The sequence below is a fragment of the Homo sapiens genome, chromosome 1 (assembly GCF_000001405.40).
Source record: "Homo sapiens chromosome 1, GRCh38.p14 Primary Assembly".
NCBI lineage: Eukaryota > Metazoa > Chordata > Mammalia > Primates > Hominidae > Homo > Homo sapiens.
In genome coordinates, this window is record NC_000001.11 from 201,112,511 (window position 1) to 201,136,302 (window position 23,792).

General features: G+C 51.3%; 2 protein-coding genes across 15 annotated transcripts in view, besides 5 other annotated features; both read right to left on the reverse strand.

Moving 5' to 3' along the window:
- On the reverse strand, positions 1,433–14,674 carry ASCL5 (achaete-scute family bHLH transcription factor 5). Its single transcript, NM_001270601.2, has 2 exons — positions 14,574–14,674; positions 1,433–3,367 (listed from the first exon to the last, which is right to left on the reverse strand). Exon 2 carries the CDS (start codon positions 2,860–2,862, stop codon positions 2,242–2,244), a length of 621 nt encoding a protein of 206 aa, NP_001257530.1. The 5' UTR covers positions 2,863–3,367; positions 14,574–14,674; the 3' UTR covers positions 1,433–2,241.
- Positions 2,043–2,092: a silencer, noted in NCBI's record as "silent region_1686". NCBI's record gives its function as "represses an Ori minimal core promoter by ATAC-STARR-seq in GM12878 lymphoblastoid cells {active_cell/tissue: GM12878}" and the evidence as "EXISTENCE:reporter gene assay evidence [ECO:0000049][PMID:35858748]".
- Positions 2,743–3,263: an enhancer, noted in NCBI's record as "H3K4me1 hESC enhancer chr1:201084381-201084901 (GRCh37/hg19 assembly coordinates)". NCBI's record gives its function as "activates a minimal SCP1, AML or CMV promoter by ChIP-STARR-seq in naive H9 embryonic stem cells {active_cell/tissue: H9 hESC(naive)}" and the evidence as "EXISTENCE:reporter gene assay evidence [ECO:0000049][PMID:30033119]".
- Positions 13,868–14,858: an enhancer, noted in NCBI's record as "H3K27ac-H3K4me1 hESC enhancer chr1:201095506-201096496 (GRCh37/hg19 assembly coordinates)". NCBI's record gives its function as "activates a minimal SCP1, AML or CMV promoter by ChIP-STARR-seq in naive H9 embryonic stem cells {active_cell/tissue: H9 hESC(naive)}" and the evidence as "EXISTENCE:reporter gene assay evidence [ECO:0000049][PMID:30033119]".
- Positions 14,859–15,849: an enhancer, noted in NCBI's record as "H3K27ac-H3K4me1 hESC enhancer chr1:201096497-201097487 (GRCh37/hg19 assembly coordinates)". NCBI's record gives its function as "activates a minimal SCP1, AML or CMV promoter by ChIP-STARR-seq in naive H9 embryonic stem cells {active_cell/tissue: H9 hESC(naive)}" and the evidence as "EXISTENCE:reporter gene assay evidence [ECO:0000049][PMID:30033119]".
- Positions 22,037–22,243: a silencer, noted in NCBI's record as "fragment chr1:201103675-201103881 (GRCh37/hg19 assembly coordinates)". NCBI's record gives its function as "represses an EF-1alpha promoter that drives an FKBP-Casp9 reporter gene in an ReSE screen in HepG2 liver carcinoma cells {active_cell/tissue: HepG2}" and the evidence as "EXISTENCE:reporter gene assay evidence [ECO:0000049][PMID:32094911]".
- TMEM9 (transmembrane protein 9) overlaps positions 22,262–23,792 on the reverse strand; it is a 36,787-nt gene continuing 35,256 nt past the window's right edge. For all 14 annotated transcript variants that reach the window (NR_109920.2, NR_109921.2, NM_001288564.2 and 11 more), the window contains one exon: positions 22,262–23,305. Coding sequence is in view for 12 of the 14 variants with exons in the window: in NM_001288564.2 (NP_001275493.1) it covers positions 23,153–23,305 (153 nt within the window). In the remaining 2 variants the exon portion in view is untranslated. The remainder of the gene's footprint in view (positions 23,306–23,792) is intronic.

Consider the following 23,792-nt stretch of genomic DNA (forward strand, 5'->3'; position numbering starts at 1 on the left):
CCTCGCTCCCAGCAAGTAAAATTAGCCTCCACTCGGCTCCCCGCTGCCGGGCCTGAGCTTCTGAGGCCAGGCAGCTGTCATTCCACCCAGCCCAGCCAGTGACTTCCCAATCTGTCCCCTGAGGAGGGTGGGGTGGGTCGGGGGAAGAACTTACACACAGGCCTGGGATGGGGCAGGGGCAGTGGGAGAGGGAGACAGGATGGAAGGTTTCAAGCCTGGGGCAACAGAGGTCAGGAATAGGTAGCCTTGGATATGGAACCTCAAACTGCAGAGTGGCCCCCTCATGCCAAAATTAGGCTTACCCCTCCTCAGCCCCATGACATTGTCTGGAGAAGGCACTGGGCAGCCTAAGTCAGGACAGCTCCACAGCAGCCCCTACCCATCTCAGTATCTGCACCATCAGCCAAAACTCCCCAAGCATACCCTCAACCCACCCCCACAAGCAATCCCATGTCAGAGAAACAGTAAACCCCTCTCCAGTGGGCTAGAAGGCTCCCAGAACAACCCTGAGTGTGCACACCTCTGGCATAGCACCTGCCTCACTGTGGAGCATCTGCTGTGTATCTTTCTTCCCCATCTCCTCCCATCCCTACAGGTGTAAAGGTTGTGTGCATTATCTCTGGGACTCTGGCCCCTTCTCTGCACAGTCCCCCTATGTACTATGCTCCCTGTAAATGTTCACTGAGGCCAGGCATGGTGGCTCACGCCTGTAATCCCAACACTTTGGGAGGCTGAGGTGGGAGAATGGCTTGAGCTCAGGACTTCAAGACCAGTCGGGGCAACGTAGTGAAACTCTGTCTCTACAAAAAATACAAAAATTAGCAGGGTATGGTGGTGTGTGTTTGTAGTCCCAGCTACTAGGGGGGCCAAGGTGGGAGGATCAGTTGAGCCTGGGAGGTTGAGGCTGCAATGAGCCAAGATCTGGCCACTGCACTCCAGCCTGGATGACAGAGTGAGACAGAGTGAGACCTTGTCTCAAAAAGAAAAGTTCATTGAGGATAGCCACGGTAATCCCAGCACTTTGGGAAACCAAGGTAGGTAGATAACTTGAGGTGAGGAATTCGAGACCAGCATGGCCAACATGGTGAAACCCGCATTCTACTAAAAATACCAAAGATTAGCGGGCGTGGTGGTGTGCACCTATAATCCCAGCTACTCTGGAGGCTGAGGCAGGAGAATTGCTCAAACCCAGGAGAAGGAGGTTGCAGTGAGCAGGGATTGAATCACTGCACTCCAGTCTGGGCAACAGAGCAAAACCTGTCTCAAAAAAAAAAAAAAAAAAAAAAAAATTCATTGAACGCCTGAGCTAACAACACTGAATCTTAAATGTGCTGAGCTAACAGCGAACCCCACATATCCTCCCAGCAAGTACTCTGGGCTGGGAGTGAGAATAAGAAAGGGGCACCAGGAAGGGTGAGGGTAGACAATGATCTAGGAATGAGAAAATTCAACAATCCTTTTATTTAGCTCTTTGGTGCCGACGCAGTGCCTATGTACCTATATGCACGCCCCCCTCCCCCAAGGCTTACAGTCTGAGGGAAAAAAACCACAGTCCCCACCCAACCTGGGACAAAACTAGACGACCTCATGGGGGGGATGCGGGGAGGGAGTAACCCCCCCTCCCAACCCAGGAAGCCAGAGAACGCCACCGGGGCACACAGGTCGCCTCTGCTGAGTCTGTAGGTTCGGTCTGGGCTGAGCGCCAGCAGCAATCTGGCCTCCCATCCCTTCCTCTGGGTTCCTTTCTCGAGGAGTAAGCGTGCTCCCAAAGAAGTCGCTAGTATCTGAGGCCATCTGGTGGAGAGCAGTGGCATGGTAACCGAGGGCTCAAAGTCGGGCTCGCATCCCGGGGACTCGCAGAGACTGGACTGCGCCTGCGGCAAGGAAGGACGGAGCAGAGCCACCTGAGGCCGAGCGGGAGCCAGACCCAGGGATGACCGTCCTGGGGAGCCCCTCTGCACCCCGGAGGGGACGCAGGACGCCCGGAGCAGTCCCAGGCCCTGCCCCTCGCTTCACCCACGGAGCTCCTAGGTCTCTATCGTGCCCATCGTACCCGCTGCCCTGCACTTCCGCCCCAAGCTGGTGGAGGAGGGAGGGTGTCGCAGACACGGGAGCGCCGCGGACCTCCTACAGTCACCGTCCTGCGGCGCATCGCGGGTGACCCAACAGCCTCCCGCTGCTCCCGAAAGTGGGACGGGGCCGGCGGATCATCCTCCAAGCCGGGGGCGGCCACAGGCCCGATCAATGCCAGGATTCCTCCGACTCCAAGAAAGGCGACGGGGAGAAGCAGGAGGACTCGGATGACTCCGGCACCAGGGAGGAGGGCGCCCGGGCCTCGCCGTCGCCAGGGCGGTCGGGACGGGGGGTGGCGGGCGGCGCGGGGCAGGGCCCGGTGCCCGGGAGGCCGCGGGAAGCGGGGGGCGTCGAGCCGTCGGGGGCCGAGCTCAGCAGCTCTTGCAGGTACTTTATGTAGCGGATGGCGGCGCGCAGCGTCTCCACCTTGCTGAGTCGCTTCTCAGCCAGGGCGCCGGGGAGGTGGCCGCGGAGGCGAGCGTAGCCCTCGTTGACGCACTTGACTCGCTGCCTCTCGCGCTCGTTGCGCTTCTGGATGAAGGCTGGCTCGAAGGGGTATTCGTAGACCCCGAAGGCGCCGGGGAAGGGCACGTAGGGGAACACCCCCGCATAGGCGTCGTAGTAGGGCGGCTCTGCTGGGCCCGGGTACAGCAGGAAGGGCACGTTGCCCAGGGGCTCGGCGGGGGGCAGGGGCGCCTGCCGGGGAGGGGGCATGACGCCCAGCTGCATGCAGCTGGGGGGCCCCAGAGGCCTCCGGTCCACCAGAGCCCGGCAGAAGTTATTGTTCATGGTGCCGCGTGGAGCTGGACCCAGAGCGAGGCCTCCACCGAATGGCCCCGGCTTGGGGTCTGCACCGTCTCCACCAGTGGGGCAAGTCACATCGCTAGCAGCAGCTCTTGGGTACCAGGACTTGCTAGGGCCTCTTTTCGCCCTTTAGGGTGGCTTCCAATGACTCCCTAACAAGAGCCATCGCCCTAGACAAGTGTGGCCCCTCTCAGGAGGTCGGTGCACGCCTTCTCAGAGCCAGCCCATGGCGCCGCGGAACTCTGAGGGCCCGCACCCCGTTCCGCAGCACCCATGGGCATGGCCACAGACCCGCCCACCCTGCCTCTTGCTGCCACCCAACATGGGCACCTCAGGCCTAAACCACGGGCTCCATGTCCTCCACACCCACCCCAGCGCCTGGTCCTTGGTCCTCGCGGCCTTCGGGATCCCCGGGCTGTCCGGGGTCCCCAAACTGATGGCTGCTGTTAGGAGTGCGCCAGCTCAGTGGAGGGAGTCCCCGGGAACATTTCTAAAGAAGAGGAGAGGAGAGTGAACATATCAGTTAGGAAAGACCTGTATTATGGGCTTCTTTGTATCATCCCCACCCGCAAACGGGATTGTAAGCCTCATGAGGAGAGGCGGTTGGCTACTGAAGGGGCACAGATCTGGGTTAAAATCTTGTGTCCACTCCTTAATAGTCGGGTGACCACTCTGAGTCGTGGTTTCCATAACGGAAGGGCAAGGGAAACATCCTTGACAGGAAATTAATAAGATATGAGAATCAAATGTGAAAAAATATATGCAAAAAACACCTCCTAAAGGTCATAGCTTATAAAAATGCCCAGTTTTGTCATGTCCCTTGAGACTGGGGGATTAAGTCTCATCACTGATCCCTTCCGGGGTCTTACATCTAGAAGCGGGTCTGAGACTGCTTATTGGATTAGCAGCAGCAGCCATCAGCCAATGAGGGAAGCCAACTCTTTATGGAAAGGAATGCCTCTTTGATAACAAGGTAGGTGTTGCTGGTCCATTCAAAGCCCTCTGCCTGGCAGAGACAGTCATCAAAGCCTTCCCTGCCCCAGTCCCTGTGGTCTGGGATACACCCTCTCACCCCACCCTGGGTTTCTCCATGGCACCTAATGGAGCTGTCTATTCTTTCACCTGTATGCCCTGAGCCTAGCCCAGCCCCTGTTGAGTATTAGATGCTCCACAAATACATGTGGAATAACAGAGAGAGGATTAGGCAGAAAGCTGGGTTTGTCAGGGTGGGACTGATTACACGTAGCCTTTCATAGGCTTTAGGAAGTTGTTATTTCAGAAATAATTGGTGTGTGTTGAGTTTAGGTGCCACCAAGCTTCATTGCATGTGGTTATCAGATCCAAGTTAGGTGCCATTTTGTCTAGGAAGCCTCTCTGATCGCACTCCCCCCTCTTGTGTGTGTCTACAGTGTTCCATAAGTGCCATCTTAGCACTTATCACACTACTCTATTATTTTTTCCCTCTTCATAAAAGATGATCAGGACTTAGCGAGTGAGTGAGTGATGGGCAGCATGACACCTTGGCCACTGGGCACGGCCTCTCCAAGAGACAGAAAGGAGCTAGCTCTCTCCCTGACAGGAGGAGGTGGTGGCAAACTCAGATTCCCGAGAATGTCTCCTTCTGCACCCTCTCACCTCTGTCCTTTTTGCAGGCCCTGAGTCTGTTTCCAGCTAGCTTTGTCCTCCACACTAAATGAGGACCAAGAAAAATCAACAATGATTCTAAGCGTCATGGAGACTTAGGTATGCTCTCAAAAGTGAAACCAGGCCGGGCATGGTGGCTCACGCCTGTAGTCCCAGCACTTTGGGAGGCTGAGGTGGGCAGATCACTTGAGGACAGGAGTTCGAGACCAGCCTGGCCAACATGATGAAACCCTGTCTCTACTAAAAATACAAAAACTAGCTGGGTGGAATGGTGGGTGCCTGTAATCCCAGCTAATTGGGAGGCTGAGACAGAAGAATCGCCTGAACCTGGGAGGTGGAGGGTGCAGTGAACCAAGATCATGCCACTGCATTCCAGCCTGGATGACAGAGCAAGACTCCATTAAAAAAAAAAGAGTGAAACCAAATGTCTGAGAATTCAGGACAAATTCACATATCCCTCCCCTTCTCAGTGGCCTTCAAAGCCTCCCCGTTGCTTTCAAGAGAAGGTTCTAGAAAATGTCTCCCAAACAGACCTTCAGATCTCTCAGGTCAATCTTCTCTGGAACTCTTTGCTTTCCGGATCTCACACTTGGCTTGTGCTGGCTCCGGTCCTGGGGGCCCTCTCTACATCTCTCTGCTTTACCCAGAGTCCTGCCATCCTTGATTCCAGCTCCTGCCCATCCTGACTGCCTGAGCGCTCCGGCTTCCAACATGGGTTGTGCATTCTAAGATGGCACATTCTCTTTAAGGTTGTGCATTCTATGTCTTCAACCAGAATGTAAGCAGTCGGAAGGCAGGGGCTAGGGCTTTTATTTCTCAGGTAACACCTATCAGTCCCTTGCTCAAAATGATTTTCTAGCGGTTCTCTTTTATTGTACAAATTTGGGATCCAGACTACACTCTCCCATATGATCCCTGTCTATTCATATTTGACTTAATTATTTAAATTTAATTTGATAGGGGTCAGAAGTTTATGACAATTTTAACAAGTACAACTTACTATTTGTTCATGTTGATTTAATATTCATAACTTATTTATTTTCCTCATATACTATTTACCTTTTTTCATACAACAATTCAGAAAGGTGATTCAAACAAGAAACTTCACAGCAGGACTATGTATTTCTTAAGCCAATTCTGTCTTTACTGTTAGAAAAGAACTGATAAGCCAGGCGAGGTGGCTCATGCCTGTAATCCCGGCACTTTGTGAGGCCAAGGAGGGAGGATCACTTGAGCCCAGGAGTTTGAGACCAGCCTGAGCAACATGGCAAAACCCTGTCTCTACAAAAAATTAAAAAAATTAGCAGGGTTTGGTGGCATGTGCCTGTGGTCTCAGCTACTCAGGGGGAGGCTGAGTAGGGGAGGATGGCTTAAGCCCAGGAGGCAGATGTTGCAGTGAGCTGAGGCTGCACCACTGCACTCCAGCCTGGGCAACAGAGCAAGACCCTGTCTCAAGAAAAAAAAAAAAAAAGAGAACTCATAACCTATCTGCAAGATACCATAGGGGGGTACACAGCTGCAAGGGAATTGTGTTCTGCATCTATCACTGAATACCAGAAGCTGAGGAACACAGTGTAGCATATGACCATTAAGCGGCGTGATTTTCATTCAGTAAATATGTACAGAGGGTCCTGGATATCCTGGGACTGCTCTAGGTACTAGGATAGAACAGCAAACAAACATTGTAGTGAAATAATAATAATAATGATAATCATAGCTACACTTATTATTCATGATGTGCAAGACCTCATGCTAAGAGCCTGATGTGAATCATCTCATTTAATTTTCACGCCATCCTTGAGAGGTAGGTGCTAATATTGTCTGGTTTTACGGGTGAGAAACTTGAGGCACATGAAGGGTAAGTCACTTTTTAAAGGCCCACTGTTAGGAATTCATGAACTAATAAAGGTTAATCCACCACCTCAGTTTCCCACCTCTTCCCTCAGTATTTCTACTAGTGGCTTCTCATCTGATCAAAGGAACAGAGAGGTTTACACTGACCTAACAAAAGGATCTTAGTAAATTATTCCTGCTGGAGAGGAATTACAATTATAATGATAATTCCTGGAGGGGATGTCCCGCTGAAGATTCCAATTATAATGCTGTTATTTAGCTTCTGCTAAGAGAAGAACTAAAGGTCACCCCGGTCATCTTTTGGGAGGGTAGCACCCCCTTGAAGATGTGTTTGGAGGGTGGCCCATGGAGTTCTGCTGCTGGGAAGATACAGACTGGAGTATCATCAGACTGAGTCAAGCAGCAGGAGCCCCCTTGCCTGAGCTTAGAAAACCTGAGCAAAGGCCCCAGGAGGATCTATCAGTAGCAGGGAACCTACTCATCGGCTAAGTTCATGGGACTGGGCAGAACCAGCTATCAATAGCGCCACGGTGTGGTGGTGAGACGCAGTGGCGGCAACAGATTGATGAAATTCGCATCCCGACCCCACGGGTGTCGAAGTCATCACTTCCTGTGACAGCTCCCTTTGGGGACTGTGGGTCCCTAGGTCTCCTGGAAAATTCAGGGTAAGAGAAGACCCCTTAGGAAAAGCTACTGAGTTTTCTGTCAACATCTACTAATTTTCTCCCTGTGTTTGTGAAGCAATTCGTATCACTTAAACTTTCACTATGTACACATACATAAAATATGTATTAATACAATTAGATGTATTTTGTTGTTTTGAATTAAAAATAGCAGTTGCATCAGCATTAGGCAACTTACTAGATAAAAATGTGACTCTGAAACAGTGGAAGAGCTTTTCCTCTACTCTTAGCCCCCATGGTGACTGCTGAAAGAGCTAGTTGAGTGAACCCATTGATTGCATTGAGTAGGCACAGACTATTAGTTGCAGGCAATGCTGTCCACCTTTTTAAGGGGCCCTGGTTCCTCTCTGGGACCAGAGCCACTCCTTGCCCTCAGCAACCCCATTCATTACCAGCTGTACTCTAGTTTACTTTGCCCTGGGAAGCAGCCGAGCAGATGTGCTTGGCAGGAAGTAACTGCTGTTCCTCCCCAGAGCTTTCTTCGTGGTGCAAGCTACACTGAGCTGTTAGGCCTGCAGTCTACGCTCAGTTGTACCATGTACAGTTAGTTTGTTTAGGGCCAGCTATCATCAATTATTGTGCAAAGAACTTTCTAATCCTCAAATCTGACTTGCACCAGAGAGGGCGTATTGTCAGCGGGGGTCTCCTGGGCCTCCTTTGCAATACCTTGCCAATTCTAATTGTGTAGCACTAGTGTTTGCCCCACCAATATTAGCCCCTTGTTGTCCCTATTGCCAGAGGATCTCACTGTCCACACCCCTGGGGATGGCACATTATCATAACTTGCTGTTAATGGTTTCATACTCATCCCCTGCCCATCTCTCCCAGGCCTCTCCCTGGTGCTCAATGTTCACCAGGGCCCTGTCTCCCCACCCTCCTCAGCCTTATACTCTGCATGGGCAACAGGCAACCTGAGGGCCCTCTCCCCAGGGCTCTTCCTGTCACTGCCCCCAACCCAGGCTGTAAACTGTGAGCCCAAGAACTCTGGTCTTATCCTTCTTTGAGACACACAGTACACGCTCAGTTAAGTGTTTGTTGATTGACACTGGTGGGAAGCCCTGGGGAGGCAAAGGCAGATGTGAACTTTGAAGAAGCAGACAACATAATTCTACCTTTCAGGCTTTCCTCATTGTCTTTAGCAGGACTGGAACCAGAGTTGGGGGTCTGAGGTCAGGAATTGGCTGAACATGTCTCTTTCAACAGGGAACCCATGGCTCTGAAGGAAGTATTGGGGAAAGTGATTCCATAGTCTTCTTCTTCTCCTACCACTCTGAGAGATTTCTGAGAGTTGACCAGTCCATAATGCTGCTTTTGGGCAGCAACAGGGAGACTGCTTCCATAGCCTCCCCTCTACCCACTGCCGCCAAAAACTGGGAACATTTGTAAGGAAGCCCCAAGGACTCAGAATGACAGAACTCATTAGCTTTGTGGAATCCTCACTCATTCCCCTGCCTCCAGGCAAGGTGGTTGCTAAAACCTTTCCCCTAAGGGCTGCATAATTTGAGAAATGCAGCTCCCCGCATTTCCCTCCTTGGATACCCACATTAGCGTTGGCCCTTGGAGGGCATGTTAGCATCAGAGGCCCTGGGAAGCCCTGCAGGTAAAGAAACCTGTTTGTATTTAACCCCCAAATTCCCAATGGAACCACAGAACACTTAAAAAATGGTCTTAAGCCCACTAACATCAAATAGAATACACTTCAGGAAATTCTGCCTTTAAATCTTCAGGGTAAATGTATTTTTTTAAGAAACAAATAGGGGCTGGTGTGTGGCTCACACCTGTAATCCCAGCACTTTCGGAGGCCGAGGTGGGGGGATCGCTTGAGCCCAGGAATTTGTGACCAGCTTGGGAACCTTGTGCTTCTAGTCTTGTTTAAGTCTTACTCACCGCTACATTTTCCTTTAGGAATTCAGTTTTGTGTGTGGTTTCCAATAGGGTTCTGTTTTAATTTTGTAGACCAATAATTAGCAGTGTCGATTTATTTAGCATTCATTAAGCAGGCCATCTTTTTATCACTAACTTGAAAAAAATCTCTCATTAAATATTGTATTCATCTTTCATTAGGTTCTGCATACTTTAGTAGAGACCCTATCTCTACTAAAAATAAAAACGGTTAACTGGATGTGGTGATGCATGCCTGTAGTCCCGGCTACTCAGGAGGCTGAGGTGGGAGGATCAGTTGAGCTCAGGAGGTGGAGGCTGCAGTGAGCTGTGATTGCAGCACTGCACCCAGCTGGGTGACAGACTCAGACCCTGTCTCAAAAAAAAAAACCCCAAAACAACAACAAAAACCCAAATAGGAAATCTTACAATCTCCCTTGGGGGGTCTGTCACATAACCTGTACATATTTCTAGAAGGATAACCTCACCACCCCCACCATATACATAGTGAACACTCCAGACCACATATTCAACATAAGCAATCCTTTCAGAATCTTGACGGGTATAGTTTCAACACTGATGGGAGAAGGGGCAGCCAGGCCCTGTGACCATGAGCCCACATGGCACCTTGCTGGGTTAGAAAATGATGCTTCATGCTCTGGGTGGGTGTTGTGCAGGCGGGATTCCAGCCCCACTTGCCCCCTTAGCCTGCACTGAATGAGGAAGTACTATCCATGGGCCCCAGAGCCTGCTTAGCCCCTCACGCTGCCCTCCACGCCATCCTCCCTGCCTCAGGTTTGGAAACCTCTGTTGCTCCGCAGCAACCTGGCTGCATCCAGTTTCACAAAGAGAAAAGCTCACAGAGCTTTGACATGGGCTGACCAAGCCAAGTCCTCAATGTGGCATCACTTTGCTGAGAGTCTTAAAGAAGAGAAACAGGGTGGAGAAGGATGGGCTCGCGTGGATTAGGTGCCCTCTGATGCTTGGTGCTTTGCGGCGTGCTCTGCTTTCCTTATCCCATGCTATCCTCACACCTGAGAGAAGGTATTACTGTTCCTGTTTACAAAAGAGGAAACAGGCTCAGAGAGGCTAAGAGAGCTGCTCAGGGTCACACAGCCGATTGAATTTACCAGGGTCTCATTGGGTTGATATGAGGACTTTCTTGGCCGGGCAGCGGTCCCCACCTTTTTTATGAGTAATGATTGTTACAGGATCTCCTGGGGGTGGAGCTGGGTGAGGAATTTAGTCCTTCCCAGTTCCCTGAATATAACCAGGCATTTGCAATGCTGTGGAGTTATGGGAAGATGTTCCCAGAGGCAACCACCCCACTGCTAAACCCTGAGCACGGGCTTTAGATTAAACTGGCCGGGATGAATCCTGGCGCTGCTCTTACTGGCTAAGTAGCTTTAGGCCAGTTACTGACTTCTATAAGCCTGTTGCCTCATCTGAAAAGTGAAGGTAATAATACCTACCTTAGAGGTTACTGTAAAGACAAAGGTAATGTATGTGAGCCACGTGGCACCTAAAAGCAATTGAATTAATGGTAGCTCTTATTGCCGTTAAGGGACGGGTGACCTTCAGAAAAGCTCCCAGAAGCTCTAGGACCCTTGGATGTGGCTAAGAGAAGCCCAGGACGGCAGGTGCCCCACCAATATTGTTCCACCAATGCTTACACCCAGTAGCTTCCCACAGTCACATCTGTCCTGAGTCTAAAAGGAAAATTCTATGCATTAAATGTCCGATTTTTCCCCTCCAATCTTTGAATGAAAAGGGTAACTGAATTCAAATAATTCTAATAAATTGAATTTATTCAACCGTGTGTTCTATCGCCTGTCAATCCACCTACCAAATAACATCTCCTGAGCTCCTTCAAGGAATCCTTCTGTGGGCTGGGGACCCAGCAGAGGACAACCTCAACTGCTGCCCTCAGTTTAGTAGAAGAAAAAAGGACTGCATCTTAGTGCCCACACATGCCTAGCACTTACCTATATGCCAGCCGCTGTTCTAAGTGTGCTACAAAACTCTCATTACAGCCTTATGATGTCAGGACTGATGGTATCCCCAACTTACAGATGAGAAGAACAAGGCAAAGAGTGGTTAAGCAAATTGCCGCAGGTCACACAGCTGATAAATGTTGACCTGGGATTCAAGGGATCCTTTCTACACTCTGGGACTGGGGCATCGTCATCCTGTCCAGGAATGAGTCTTTCTTAGCCCAGAAGAATAAGACTCAGATTCAGAAGAAAGTCCATTCCCTACATTACTCCTACTACCCCACCCCACCCAAGGGGAGGAGGAAGAGTCTATGGCTCAGGAGCCCGACACCTGGACTCTTGTCCCAAAGCCACCAATAAGTGCTAATGTGACTCTTCACAAATCTTACCATCAGATAAAACTGCTCCGTACTTTGCCTTTCGGGGAGTAGAAATACCTTCTGAGGAGTCCAACAACCTCATTGGGGGTGGGTTTTGGGGTTGCAGAAGGGAAAGGTGAGACCCTGGCCAAAATTGTGACTAGGAACCCAGTATTTAACTTGCTCTCTCTGGCTGAAGTGACTCACACTGCTGTGCAAATGCAAGTTACTGCAATTCCTGTTCTCATCATTGGTTACACACATAGGTGCTCAAGAGTGTTTCTGAATGCTTATGATTAATCAATGTTAATTTCAAAGAAGACAAAGAGGAAGGAAAATCATCCTATAGACACAGTGAAGTCATGGTCAGAATGAACCAGGCGGTTCTGCAGATGAAATCAGTTTGAATCCCAGAAATTCAAGCTGTGCCTGAGCCTCCCTTGATGAGGAACAGTCAGCCTCAGAGCTGGGTTCACAGGCTAGGAAGCTAGGGAGGCTGGGGTTGAGGGGTGGGTACCATGGAAGCTGCCCCCAAGGGTGCTGCCTGCCAGCCTCTGCCCTCTGAACCACACACCCATCGTCATTGTTGTCTCCTCCCTGGCCCTACTGCCCTAGGCTCCAGTGCCAAGCTCAAGCAGAGTCATGCCCTGGGGCCCATATTATTGCCAACTCAGGGGAACAGAGGAAAAAGGATTCTCACTCCTTTCTCTACAAAAAGGAGTATCCCTTGTAGGTGACGGCTATTTCATGGGGGAAAAAAAGCCCTTAGGGGCCACAGAACAAAAGTTTGAGGGTTCCCAAGGAAGATGGGTCTGGTGGCCTCTGCAGATCATATTAATAGATCCAGAGAATTCGTAGGTGGGAAGTGACTGCAGCTGCAGGGCTGGAGGGGAGACGGTGCCCGTAATGAGGGAAGGAGATTCATGAACCAACATTGTTCAGCACTTGTGATACTTCACACTCTGGATCTCATTCGAGCCTCAGGGTGTCCTTGTGAAGTGGGTGTCTGCAGCCCCCACTCCACAGGAGGGACCGAGGCCAGGAGAGCCTGGACCTGTGGCCAGGGTAGACCATGGCCCTGGTTCTCCACTGCCCCCACCCCAGTTTCCCCTCCTGGTGGCTGAGGCCCTCGCAGCTCCCTCTGTGTGCAGGCTGTCACTGGGATTCTCCAACCTGTCTCATGCATGCGGTTACCTGTATTTTAGAGGGAACTGGGGCTCTCTGAACTTGTCATACGTTGGCTTACGACCAGGGACTCTGGAGCCAGCCAGATGTGTCTGAGAATCCTGGCTTTGCCACTTCCCAGCTATATGACTTTGAGCAGGCCTATTCCATTTCCTCTTCTGTAGGCTGGGGAGAGTAACAGCACTCACTTCCTAAGGTTACTGTGAAGTTCAAGGAGATCGTGCATGAAAACACGCTGGCACGCTTCGTGGCTGGGAAGTGCTCAGTAATCAACAGCTGTTCACACTCCCAGGCCCGGCATCTAGGTTCCCAGCAGTCTGCCATCCTTCTCTCCAACATTCTTTTCCCCCATATCCCCAAATCAGCCCTCAGCTTCAGCGTGAACATAACTCTCTTCTCTCAAGCAGCCTCTGCGTTCTCCCCTCTAGCCCATGTTCACAGAGTTGCTCCTTTCCGGGAGAATTAGCCCCTTGCCTTTCCACTCATCCAACTCCTACTTCTGGAAGCTGTTTGGGTCTTTCTTTGTCCACAGAGCTTTACTACCCTCTCCTGTTTCTGCTCTTTCTCCTTCTCCCTGAATCCTAAAGCCTTGGTGCGTTGCTCTCAGTGGTCATAGTTCATTGGCGTGCCCTCGCCTTGCTGTTCACCTTGCTGTGCATTTGTGTCTTGCTCTTTCAAGGAGCAGGAGTTCCTTGAAGGGCAGGAACCTCATGCTCCCTCTGTATCCTGCGGGCCCAGCCCTGCCCCTGACACATAGGAGGTGTCCAAGAAGTAGCCTGATGTGGAGGGGTAATTGAATTGCTGCTGGATGAATGGCAATTGAATGGGCACAGGTGAGTGTCACCAGTCCATGACTGTTATAGCAAAGCAGGTGGTCTCACGAGCCGTGTCACCTTCCTTTAATGTCTGTGGTAGAGCAGCGATGCAGAGGTCTGAGCCTGAAAATACAAAACTCATCCATCCAAACTGCCTCCTCGGGGAGCAGGATAAAAAGCACAGGCACTGAGTGGGAGGAAATGCTGTGTTCTAACGGGGACAGAATCTTGGCTCACACCGTAGGGAAGGAGACTGTTATTTACTAGGCACCTTACCATGTGCTAGCAATTTATTTATTTAATCTCTTCAAGTTCCCTTAGCTCTTTTAAAGTTAATTTTTTTTTTTTTAAGTAACAGGATCTCACCTTGTCATGTGGGCTGGAGAGCAGTGGGACGATCATAGCTCACTGTAAACTTGAACTCCTGGGTCCAAGTAATCCTCCTGCCTCAGCCTCCTGATTATAGCTACACACCACCATGCTGGGTTGTTAAAAATTTTTTTGTAGAGACAGAATCTTGAACTTCTGGCTTCAAGTGATCCTCCCGCCTCAGCCTGCTGAGTGGCTGAGATTACAGGCATGAGCCACTGTGTCCCGCCCTCCCTTAAATCACTTTCTATTCCCATTTTACAGATGGGGAAACTGAGGCTCAGCAAGCTTAAGTGAGTTTAAGGGGGATCATATTTTTAGTAAATAGCATGATTAAAAACAACAAAAATATTTATATAACATTTATTCTATGCCAAGTACTAGTCTAAGCACTTTACCCATTTGATTCTCACATAGTGCTGTGAGCCATATACTATTATTAACCCACTTAACAGGTGAAGGGACAGAGACCTAGATATGCAAATGGCCTGTGGTCCCACAACAATTAAGTAATGGAGCTAGGGTGTGAGCCCGGGCCATCTCTCCTGTGGCCAGGCCCTTCACCACTGCTCTGCACCTCCTGAGCCTGCTCCCAAGTTCAGACCCAGGCCTAGCTCTCCTCCTGCCTAGACCCTTCACGACGAGCAAGTCCATGGGAAAATGCCCGCTCAGTGGCAATGTCCTTGGCAGCACAGCTGATCTCGCCTTCTCCCAGCACTGGTGGGTGCCGTAACCCCAGCCAGCAGGTGGCTTGGCTCTGTTTTCCTTTCCTTTGGGTAGGAAAGCCATCAGGGGTGACTAAGCCCTGAGTAAACAGTGTTCCTGGCCTCCCTCCTCCAGGCCGGGTGGGGCTATCACTATTTCAGGATCAAACTCGGGCACATCCCTCAGCCACCACCTTCGCACGGTTACCTCTCTGGGTTTGTTCCTCCGGCAGCGCTTATCCTGATCAGTGGCTCTTGAACCTCCTGGGGGGACTGCGGAATCTCCGGGGCTGCCCGCCTGCCCAGCAGCACCTTCAGCAGCCTCTGGCCGGGCTTTCCTGCCACAGCACCGGGAGCCAGGTACACTTTACCTGATTCAACTTCAAACGGCAACACACCCAGAAGGGGAGGGAGGAGGGGCGGCAGGGGGTGGGGGCTCCTCTGATCTGGGATCAGCTCCCAAGAAGGAGAGAGGGCCACTCCTGGCCTCCTGTGATTGGCTGCCCTGAGTCTGGGCAAGTGACATGCAGCTCTGGGCTGGAGCCTAGGAGGAGTGGGGATGCTGTCCTCTAGGGCGCTGCCCTGCTGAGAGCCAAGGGAGGGGGATGCATCTGGCCCAGCTGGCAGGGAGCCTCAGATAGCCTCTGGATGGAAGTCCATACAGCAGGAGGGACTTGAATTAGCGCGTAGGAAATGCGTCGTGAGCGTGAAGGGCAAGAGACCAGGAACACGCAGGGAGTCTCTTTTTATGGGGGAAGTCCTTATGGTCAGGAGAAGACAACACTCTCTCTGGAGTGGCTTTCATGATACCAGTTTGGGGGTGGGGACTGTCAGGTGATCACTGGGCACTCCAGGGGTTGAACCGGGGACTAGGAGGGCTGCAGTGGCTCTCCAGGGACACAGTGCAGGGCTGGGGGGCACTCGCACCGCCAGCCTCCACCAGGGACTGCAGGGTAGCTGCACCGCACATGCACAAAGCTGCCTGAAGCCAGAGCTGGAGGGGCCCGTGGAGGTCACCAAGGCCATCCTCCCCAGTGGCCAGCTGAGGAAAGTGGCACCCAGAGAGGAAAGAGGTGTGCCCAGGGATACGCGGCCCACTAGATGAGCCTCCGGCAAGGCGAAGGCCCAGCTCTGTGTGGTGAGGCCTGCGGCTCTAGGGAGGAGGCCTGTGCTGGGAGCTGGGAGGCCTGTGCTGGGAGCTGGGAGACCTGCGTTCTAGCTTCTGCTTCCCCACCCTCCCACCCTCACTCCACATCGAACTCTACATTGTTTCTCTGCAGACAGAAAAAGCCTAGGGACTAGGCTGAGGTGCCAACAGGGACCTCTCTCGGTAGCCGTGGGGAGGCCCTCCTTTCCGCCACACAGTCACGTATTAGGAATGACAGACAACCACAGCCACTCAGCACTCACTACATGCCAGGCCCTGCTCCCTACACACTCACACACACTTATCCCTCGTCACACCCCATGAGAGAAGTTACTATTCTCATGTTTTAGTTGGGGAAATGGAGACAGATTGATTTGCCCAAGGTCACACAGCTAGGAAAAGTCAGGGCTGGGAATGAACCCTTGCGGTCTAGCCTCCCGGCCGACACTCCTGGCCACTGCACCACAGTGTCCTTCCCTGTGTGGATCCATTCAGGACCTGGTCTGAGCTGCCCTCTCACCACTGCAGCAGCAGAGCCTTGGGCAAACCCTCTCTTCACGCTTTTCAGCCCCAGTCGGTCAACACGCAGAGTGACATCTAGAGATTCTGTAGTGTACAGATGCAAGATCTGAAGGTCCCTTAGAGAGCGATTGGTTCAGGGCACCCAAACTGGCATCGTCAGCACACAGCTGCTTCCGTGGTTTCTGCCATTTATAGCATCATTTGTACTCGCTGTTTTCCTAATGATTTTCTTTATATATGCTCACTCCCCGACCCCTTTTTACTTGTCGTTAGCATTAATATCCACAAAATTGTGAGATGTATGTGCCAATTATGTTTTTTTCTAATACACATTAACGTAATTACATAACTACTACAGTAAAAAGTGTACTTCTGGGTACCACCTAAAATCGCCTCGCGTGTGTACACCGTGCTTTGCGAGACCACGGGCTAGTTTAATGTGCTCTATCCGGAGAGGATATCTGGAGAGGCTGAGGCTCAGAGAGGAGGCCTGCCCTGCCCGAGGTCACACAGCGAATAGCAGCGGAGCCAGGGTCAGGGGTCCCGACTCCCAGCCTGGAGCCTTGGCCTCCGTGTCCACCTGGAGGCAGGAATCAGAGGAGCCCCCAAACCTTCAAGAGCTCAGGCGCCCTCAGAGCCAGCACTGCCTGCAGCCTTGGCTCCATGCTCAGTTCCACGCCTCAGGGCAGGGGAGCCGGAGGAGAAGTCGCCCCACCTGGAAGTGTGGAGTTGGACCTCAACAAGGGTGGGATCTAGCTGAGGGGTCAGGGTTTTCTGGAGCCTAAAGCGCCCCTGGTAACACTGAGTAGGAAGTCCCTGTTGAATCTGCAGAACCTTGACTTGATGGCTGGAGGTTATGTGGTGATAGTAATAATAGTGACGTGACCAAGAACAGCCGACACTTGCTGAGCGCTTACACTGCAGAACTCTTCTAAGTGCTTTATACACATTCACAATGCACTCCCTCCGACAACCCAACACAGTCAGTAGTTGTAGCCTCATTTTGCAGTGAGGAAACAGAGCATATAGAGTTTGAATATTTACTCTAAGCTGCCTACCTAGTAAGTGGCAGTTAGGATTTATGCCCAGGGTACTGGGCTCAGTGTTCGTGCTCTTAGCCACGCCACTTAATTTACTCGGTGGAAGATTGGTCATTTAGGGAGCTTTAGGCCCCAGCACCTCATTTGTTGAGGATTTACTACAGGCTAGGCCCTGAGGCCTGGTATTATTAGAGATGAGGAAACCGGCTCAAAAGGGGTTCAGGCATTGCCAAGGGGCAGAGCTGGGTTGAGAACCCAGGTGGCTTCCGGCTTTCGGACCACACTCTGTCCACGGCACCTACTGACTCCCTGCAGCCACACAGGCACTGCCTGTGCAGTGGGAAACACATGCTCCAGTGTTAGACAGTAAATGTTGGCTTGGGGCATCCCCCCTCTACCGCTTCCATCACTTCTTCAAGCTCAGCTCCCGCCTCATCCCCTAGGGCAGGGCCTGAGCTGTGGGAGCTGGTGGGGAGATGAGGCAGCTCCTACCAAGGACACAGAGCCTCATGGGGCAGCCTGGGATTCACTGCCTGCCTGGTACTCAAGACCCCACACCCACTTAGGTGTGCACACATCTGGAGGATCTTTCCAATTCCCTCACTTCCAAGACTCCTGCCAATTGGTTCTGAGGCTAAAGGCCAGAGGAGCAGACATGGCCTTGAGGCCCTACAGGTCTCAATAAAGAACTCACGCCTTAGGAAATGGGGAGCCCCTGATGGCTCTGAAGGAGGGAAGTGACCTGGTCTGATTAAAAGCATACTCTCTGGCACTCCTGACAAGAACCGCAGTATCTGGTGAGAAATGGGGAAGACTGGGACAGTGGTAACAGGGGCTGAGGGGAGGGGACAGATTTGAGGACTATTTGGAGGTAAAGTTGGTGGGACGTTGTGAGTGATTGTACAAGAGAAGAATCAAGAATTGATGACCTTCAGGTTTCTGGCCTGAACAACTTGGTGGGTGGTGGTACCACCAGTTAAGAATATAAAAGAAGCCACCAGGCGCGGTGGCTCACAGCTGTAATCCCGGCACTTTGGGAGGCTGAGGCAGGCGGATCACTTGAGATCAGGAGTTCAAGACCAGCCTGGCCAACATGGTGAGACCCTGTCTCTACTAAAAATACAAAAATTAGCCAGGTGTGGTGGCACGTGCCTGTAGTCCCAGTTACTCCGGAGGCTAAGGCAGGGAATCACTTGAACCTGGGAGGTGGAGGTTGCAGTGAACCAAGATCGTGTCATTGCACTCCAGCCTGGGCAACAGAGCCAGACTCTGTCTCAAAAAATATATATATAACATATATTATTTTATATTATATATAATGTATATTATAAATATTATATATAACATCTATATTATTTTATAATATATAATTGGCTTATTTTATATATAAATATATATTACACATGTATATATTATATTATATAATCATGTATACATATATTATATATTTACATATAATTACATAATTTTATATATTAAATATATATTAAACATATGTACTATATATAATAAAATTATAATTTATATATTGTATCTATATATAATTGTATATAGATACAATATATAAATTGTATATAGATACAATATATAAATATATATTATATATAAAATAAGCCAATTTCAGGACAAAGATGAGTTTAATCTTGGTCTTGGGGTGCTCAGGGGCACAGTCCAACTATGCAGCTTGGGGGCTGGTTAGGGCTCAGCTCAGGGGCTGGTTAGGGCCGGGCTAGAGATAGAGATGAATAAACGCCATGAAACTGCAAAACAGAATAAACTTCCAAAGAGAGTACTTAGAAATTAAATTTTAGATAGAGCCAAGTAGGCTGAGCATGGAAGCCTGGGAAACCAACATTCATGGGGACAGGAAGGGACAGTCAGAAAGGCTCAAGAGGTCAGGTCCCAGAAGCCAAGTGAAGAGTGTTATGGAGGGAGGATCAACACCACCAAATATAGCAGAGAGGGCCAGAAGGACAAGAACCAAAGACACCCTCTGGGCCTGGCGCTCCCAGAGCCAGCTGTGACCTTGCTGAGCGCAGTTTCAGAGGAGCGTGGAGGGCAAGGTCAGTTGGCAGGGGGTGAATGACCGAGTGCACAGAGACAGGGAGGAGACTCCACTGTAGTCAGGGGTGGACCTGGAGCCCCTGGAAGGTTCTCAGGACAAAGACTTGAGCATGTTACCAGGCTGAGGAGAAGTGCCAGTAAATAGGGTAAGGTTGGAGAAATGATGGCGGTCCCAGGCAGTATTGGGCAGGGGGGATTGGAGAAATGGAGGTCCCAGACAGTATTGGGGGTTGGAGAAATGATGGAAATACCATGCAGTATGGGGTGGGCGGTTGGCTTTGAACAGGAACACACTATCCCCAAGGCTGTAGCAAAGGCAGTCAGGATGAGTATGAATGAAGAATGATTTAACAATGGGGCTGAGTTAAGAAATCACTCCATTTTCTTGAAGTCATAAGCAAGATTTTCTAGGGAAGGGAGACGGGGAGACAGGAAGGTTGTCTAGTGGCCTCAAGAGTGAGCCTCATGGGAGGATTATTGGCCCTCATGGGGGAAGGGAGGGGGTGGAGGCCATGCACCTGCCAGGGCACCCTCAGCCTCTGTGGCAGCACTGGGCTGCCCAGGGAGGAGCAGGGAAGTCAGACTGGGTGGGATTGGGGTTTTGCTGGCAGATGTGTAACAATGGATGCCAGGAAACGAGAGGAGGAGGAGGACCAAGTCGGGCTAGGTGAGAAATGAAGGAAAGGCCACGAGGAAGCAGGCTGGCCTCTCCATCAGCCTCCCTGTGAGCCACACGAGGGATGAGTGCTGGTCTCTAATCGTGGAGACCAATTCTTAAGGCTCAGGTTCCCAGGGCCAACCCCAACCAGTTGTTTTTCCAGGTGGGACCAATCTATTACAGAACAGCATGGTTGGTGGGTTTGAGGGAAGACAGGATTCTGAACACAACAGCACCAAGTTCTGTTCCTTTTTTTTTTTTGGAGACGGAGTCTTGCTCTGTTGCCAGGCTGGAGCGCAGTGGCACGATCTCAGCTCACTGCAAGCTCCACCTCCCTGGTTTAAGCGAGCCTCCTGCCCCAGCCTCCCGAGTAGCTGGGACTACAGGCAGGCGCCACCACACCCAGCTAATTTCTGTATCTTTTGTAGACAGGGTTTCGCCATGTTAGCCAGGATGGTCTCGATCTCTTGACCTCGTGATGCCGCCCGCCTTGGCCTCCCAAAGTGCTGAGATTACAGGCGTGAGCCACCATGCCCAGCCAAGTTCTGTTCCTTTTACATCATACGAGACAGGGTGAAGAACGTCATTTCTGATCTTTTCCATCATTGGCTGCAGGGGTCTTCATCTCTGTTCCAAATACCAGCCAAGCAGTGTGCTCACCCCTTTGCTGGGGATCTCCGCCCCTTCATATTCACAGAAAGATGAAGTGTACTCTGCCATCGTCTGAAAATCGGGTTTTGTGTGTGTGAAGTTGAGACACAATGAGACGTTTGGTTACTAGTTGAATCCTTAGTAAAGTGAACAGTCACTCCTAATCTTTTATAAATGTTCATATACTGGACTTATAGTTCGGCTTATTTATAGTTAACAACAGTTGTCCCAAAAACCACCAAAGCCAGTTTGGATCATCTGCAGGACTTACCCAAGCCTCAGAGAAATATAGCACTCAATGTTTCCCCCAGGGCATGTGGTTTTACAGGGGAGACCTGGCAATGTTAGGCACCAATTTCTGGCCTGGTTATTCTTGCTAAGTTAATACACCCACCTGCCCACCTTTGGAAAGTGCTGCTTTTGTATGCCTCTTGAAATAAGAGCATCCCCATCCTGAAAGAATAAAATAGCCCACTGTAGCTTCCACAGCAGTACTTGACCCTGGTAGGCACTGAGCAGCTGTCTAGTAAATGACCCAGTAGAAATGTTGTCAGCACCAACTCCTCTGTCCCAGCCTTGCATTTGGGGGCACATCTATCGCTTGCTAGCCCTACCACAAACTTCCTAAGTGCACTTGCTCAGGACCCCACAATCCACTTGGTCCCCTCTCAGCTGTGTCCCTTGTTTCCAATGCCAACCAGAGTCTCTGCTCCTCCTGGGAGCCCCATCTGCAGGTCACCCCAGTCCCATCCCCTTTACGCTTCTGTCTTGGAACTTTGGCAAACTGTTGCAAACTGACCCCCCATCTCACGTCGTTCTCTTGCCTCCCACACCTCTCCAAGAACCCAGCATGGGGGCCCACACAAAGGTTTTTTTTTGTTTGTTTTGTTTTGTTTTGAGACGGAGTCTTGCTTTGTTCCCCAGGCTGGAGTGCAGTGGCGCGATCTCAGCTCACTGCAAGCTCCGCCTGCCGGGTTCATGCCATTCTCCTGCCTCAGCCTCCCGAGTAGCTGGGACTACAGGTGCTCGCCACCATGCCCAGCAAATTTTTTGTATTTTTTTTAGTAGAGATGGGGTTTCACCGTGTTAGCCAGGATGGTCTTGATCTCCTGACCTCATGATCCGCCCGCCTCGGCCTCCCAATGTGCTGGGATTACAGGCGTGAGCCACCGCGCCCAGCCCACAAAGGTTCTTAATCCATGTTTATTTGGACAACCCTGATGACACCAGATCAGCTCAGTCCCTCTAGATGCCTTGCCTCTGCCTGGGTCTTGGACATGCCCTGCACCGCACATCCATACTGGAGCTGACGCAGTGCCGGGCTCCCCTGGATGTCCCTGTTGAAGCTGCTGGCATTTCCTTCTGTATGGGGCAGCTCGTTTTCTAGCTGCCCCCACCCACCCCTCTCCAAATACCTGTTGGTTTTCATTTGGGGATACTTACAGGTTTTGCAGGGAGCGCTATTTACTGTGTCTGTAGGATATTAGGATGAATCACGCACTGTTCAGTTTCAGAGGAACTGCCCATAAACATGAAGTAAAATCTCAGGATAACTCCCAAGGGCCAGTTCACCCTGTGCTCCTTGCCCCAGCCTACCCACCTCTTTCCTAATCAGGTGAGGAGGACTTCCAGCAAGCCGTGGCCTTGGCCTGATTGCACTGTGGCTGGCTCTGCCACGGCCGCCTGGACTTCCCAAGGCTCTGCCTGTCTGGACCTAGCAAAACGCAATGCTCTCTGTCCCCTCTGGGATACTACATTTACCAGGTCACTTGTGAAAAATTCCTAGTTCCCTAAATCTCTTAAAAACCAGAAAGTGAGAGAAATAAAACAATTTAATGATGGCTTCCTTGATTTACACACAACTCTAAGACAAGAGGACAAAATTTTCTCTCCATGCACTGGTACAACGAAGTTCAGGGACAAGAGGCAACCCAAGTACAGGGGCTGTGGTGTTCAGATCCACGCTCAGCCTCGAGTCTCATGTTCCAACCGACCGTCTGGCTCAGTGACTGTGGACACTGGGGAGAGGAGGGACTGCCCAGACCCCTCAAGTGCAGGTGAGGGGACCGGCAGCAGAGTATGCATGGGCACTCCATGCCCCAGTGCGAGAAGTGCACAGGGGACAGCGAACACCAGCTTCCAGTGCACCCTGAAGACCCAGTGGGCTCAGGGGGCCCAGCTCTCCCATCAGAGCTGTCCTCAGGGCTGGAGCTGGGGCTGGGGCTGAGGCGCTGGGGCTGGGAGGGAGGTGGTGATAAGAACCACTGCAGAAAGGAACACATGCTGAATGCTGGGCCATGCTTTCCTCCCAGACACTGAGTTCCTGAAGACCCAGCTTTATCTTCCAAGGGTAACAACATTCCCAAGACTCAGAGCTGGAAGGCGGCAAGAGTGGAGCCAGGAGAGACAGATCGCATCCACTCCTGAGGCCGCCTCGAATGTCTCCATTCCCTTCTGGCCTGCCTTCCCCCTCCCTTCAACCCCAAAGACCCAAGAAGACAACAGAGATCAGAGACCACATCCCTCTTCCCTAATCAAAATAGCCAAGTACAACATTTCTAAAGTTAGGGAGAAGGAGGAAAAATGCCACAGGCTTTTAAAGGGAAGACTGGAACCGAGGGAAGGGAGAAGTAGCCCCCTGCTTTGTCCAGCCTGGAAGCTGGCAGCCATGGTGTTGGGGCCTTGACCCAACCACACCAGCCCATCTAGCTGAGCATCTTGTGCCGATCGAAGACTGTCTTCCGCTGCTCCTGCACCTGCAGCTTCCACCGCTGCTGGGCACCTTCCACACGCTCCAGGACTGTGTTTGCTCGGGGTCCCCCGAGGGATGCAGCAGCTGCTGCCATAGAGCGAGCATCCTGTAGTGGGAAGAAAAAAAGAGAAGATCTGGCACGGTAAGCCAGAAGGGTCTTGGATCCTGAAAGTCTGACATGGAAAGAACGAACCCCAAAGCCTTACCTTCCCCAGACTGGGAGGCTGGGCCTCCCCAAGTGCTGCAGGCTGAGGACCTTGCCTTGTCATCTGCAGAGCTGAACACAGTGTGCCAGGTCTGCTGGAAGCCTTAGTGTCTGTAGCATCTGCAGGATGGGGCCCCTGCCCCTCCCTGGGGCCTGGGAAAGGAAGCACTCCAGGAAGAGTAGGTTCTGCTGGGGCTCCAGTTACTGCCACACAGCTAGCTCAAGGGAGGTTCCCAGCCTGAACCCACCCCTCACCATGCCCCATTCCACTATTTCTAACTCTCAAGAAGGATGCTAAGTATAGGCTTCAAGACCTCACTTAGGCAGAGGACTTGATGACATCTGTTGTTTCAGCAATGCACCGAGGTGCCCCCAGGGCTAGTACTAG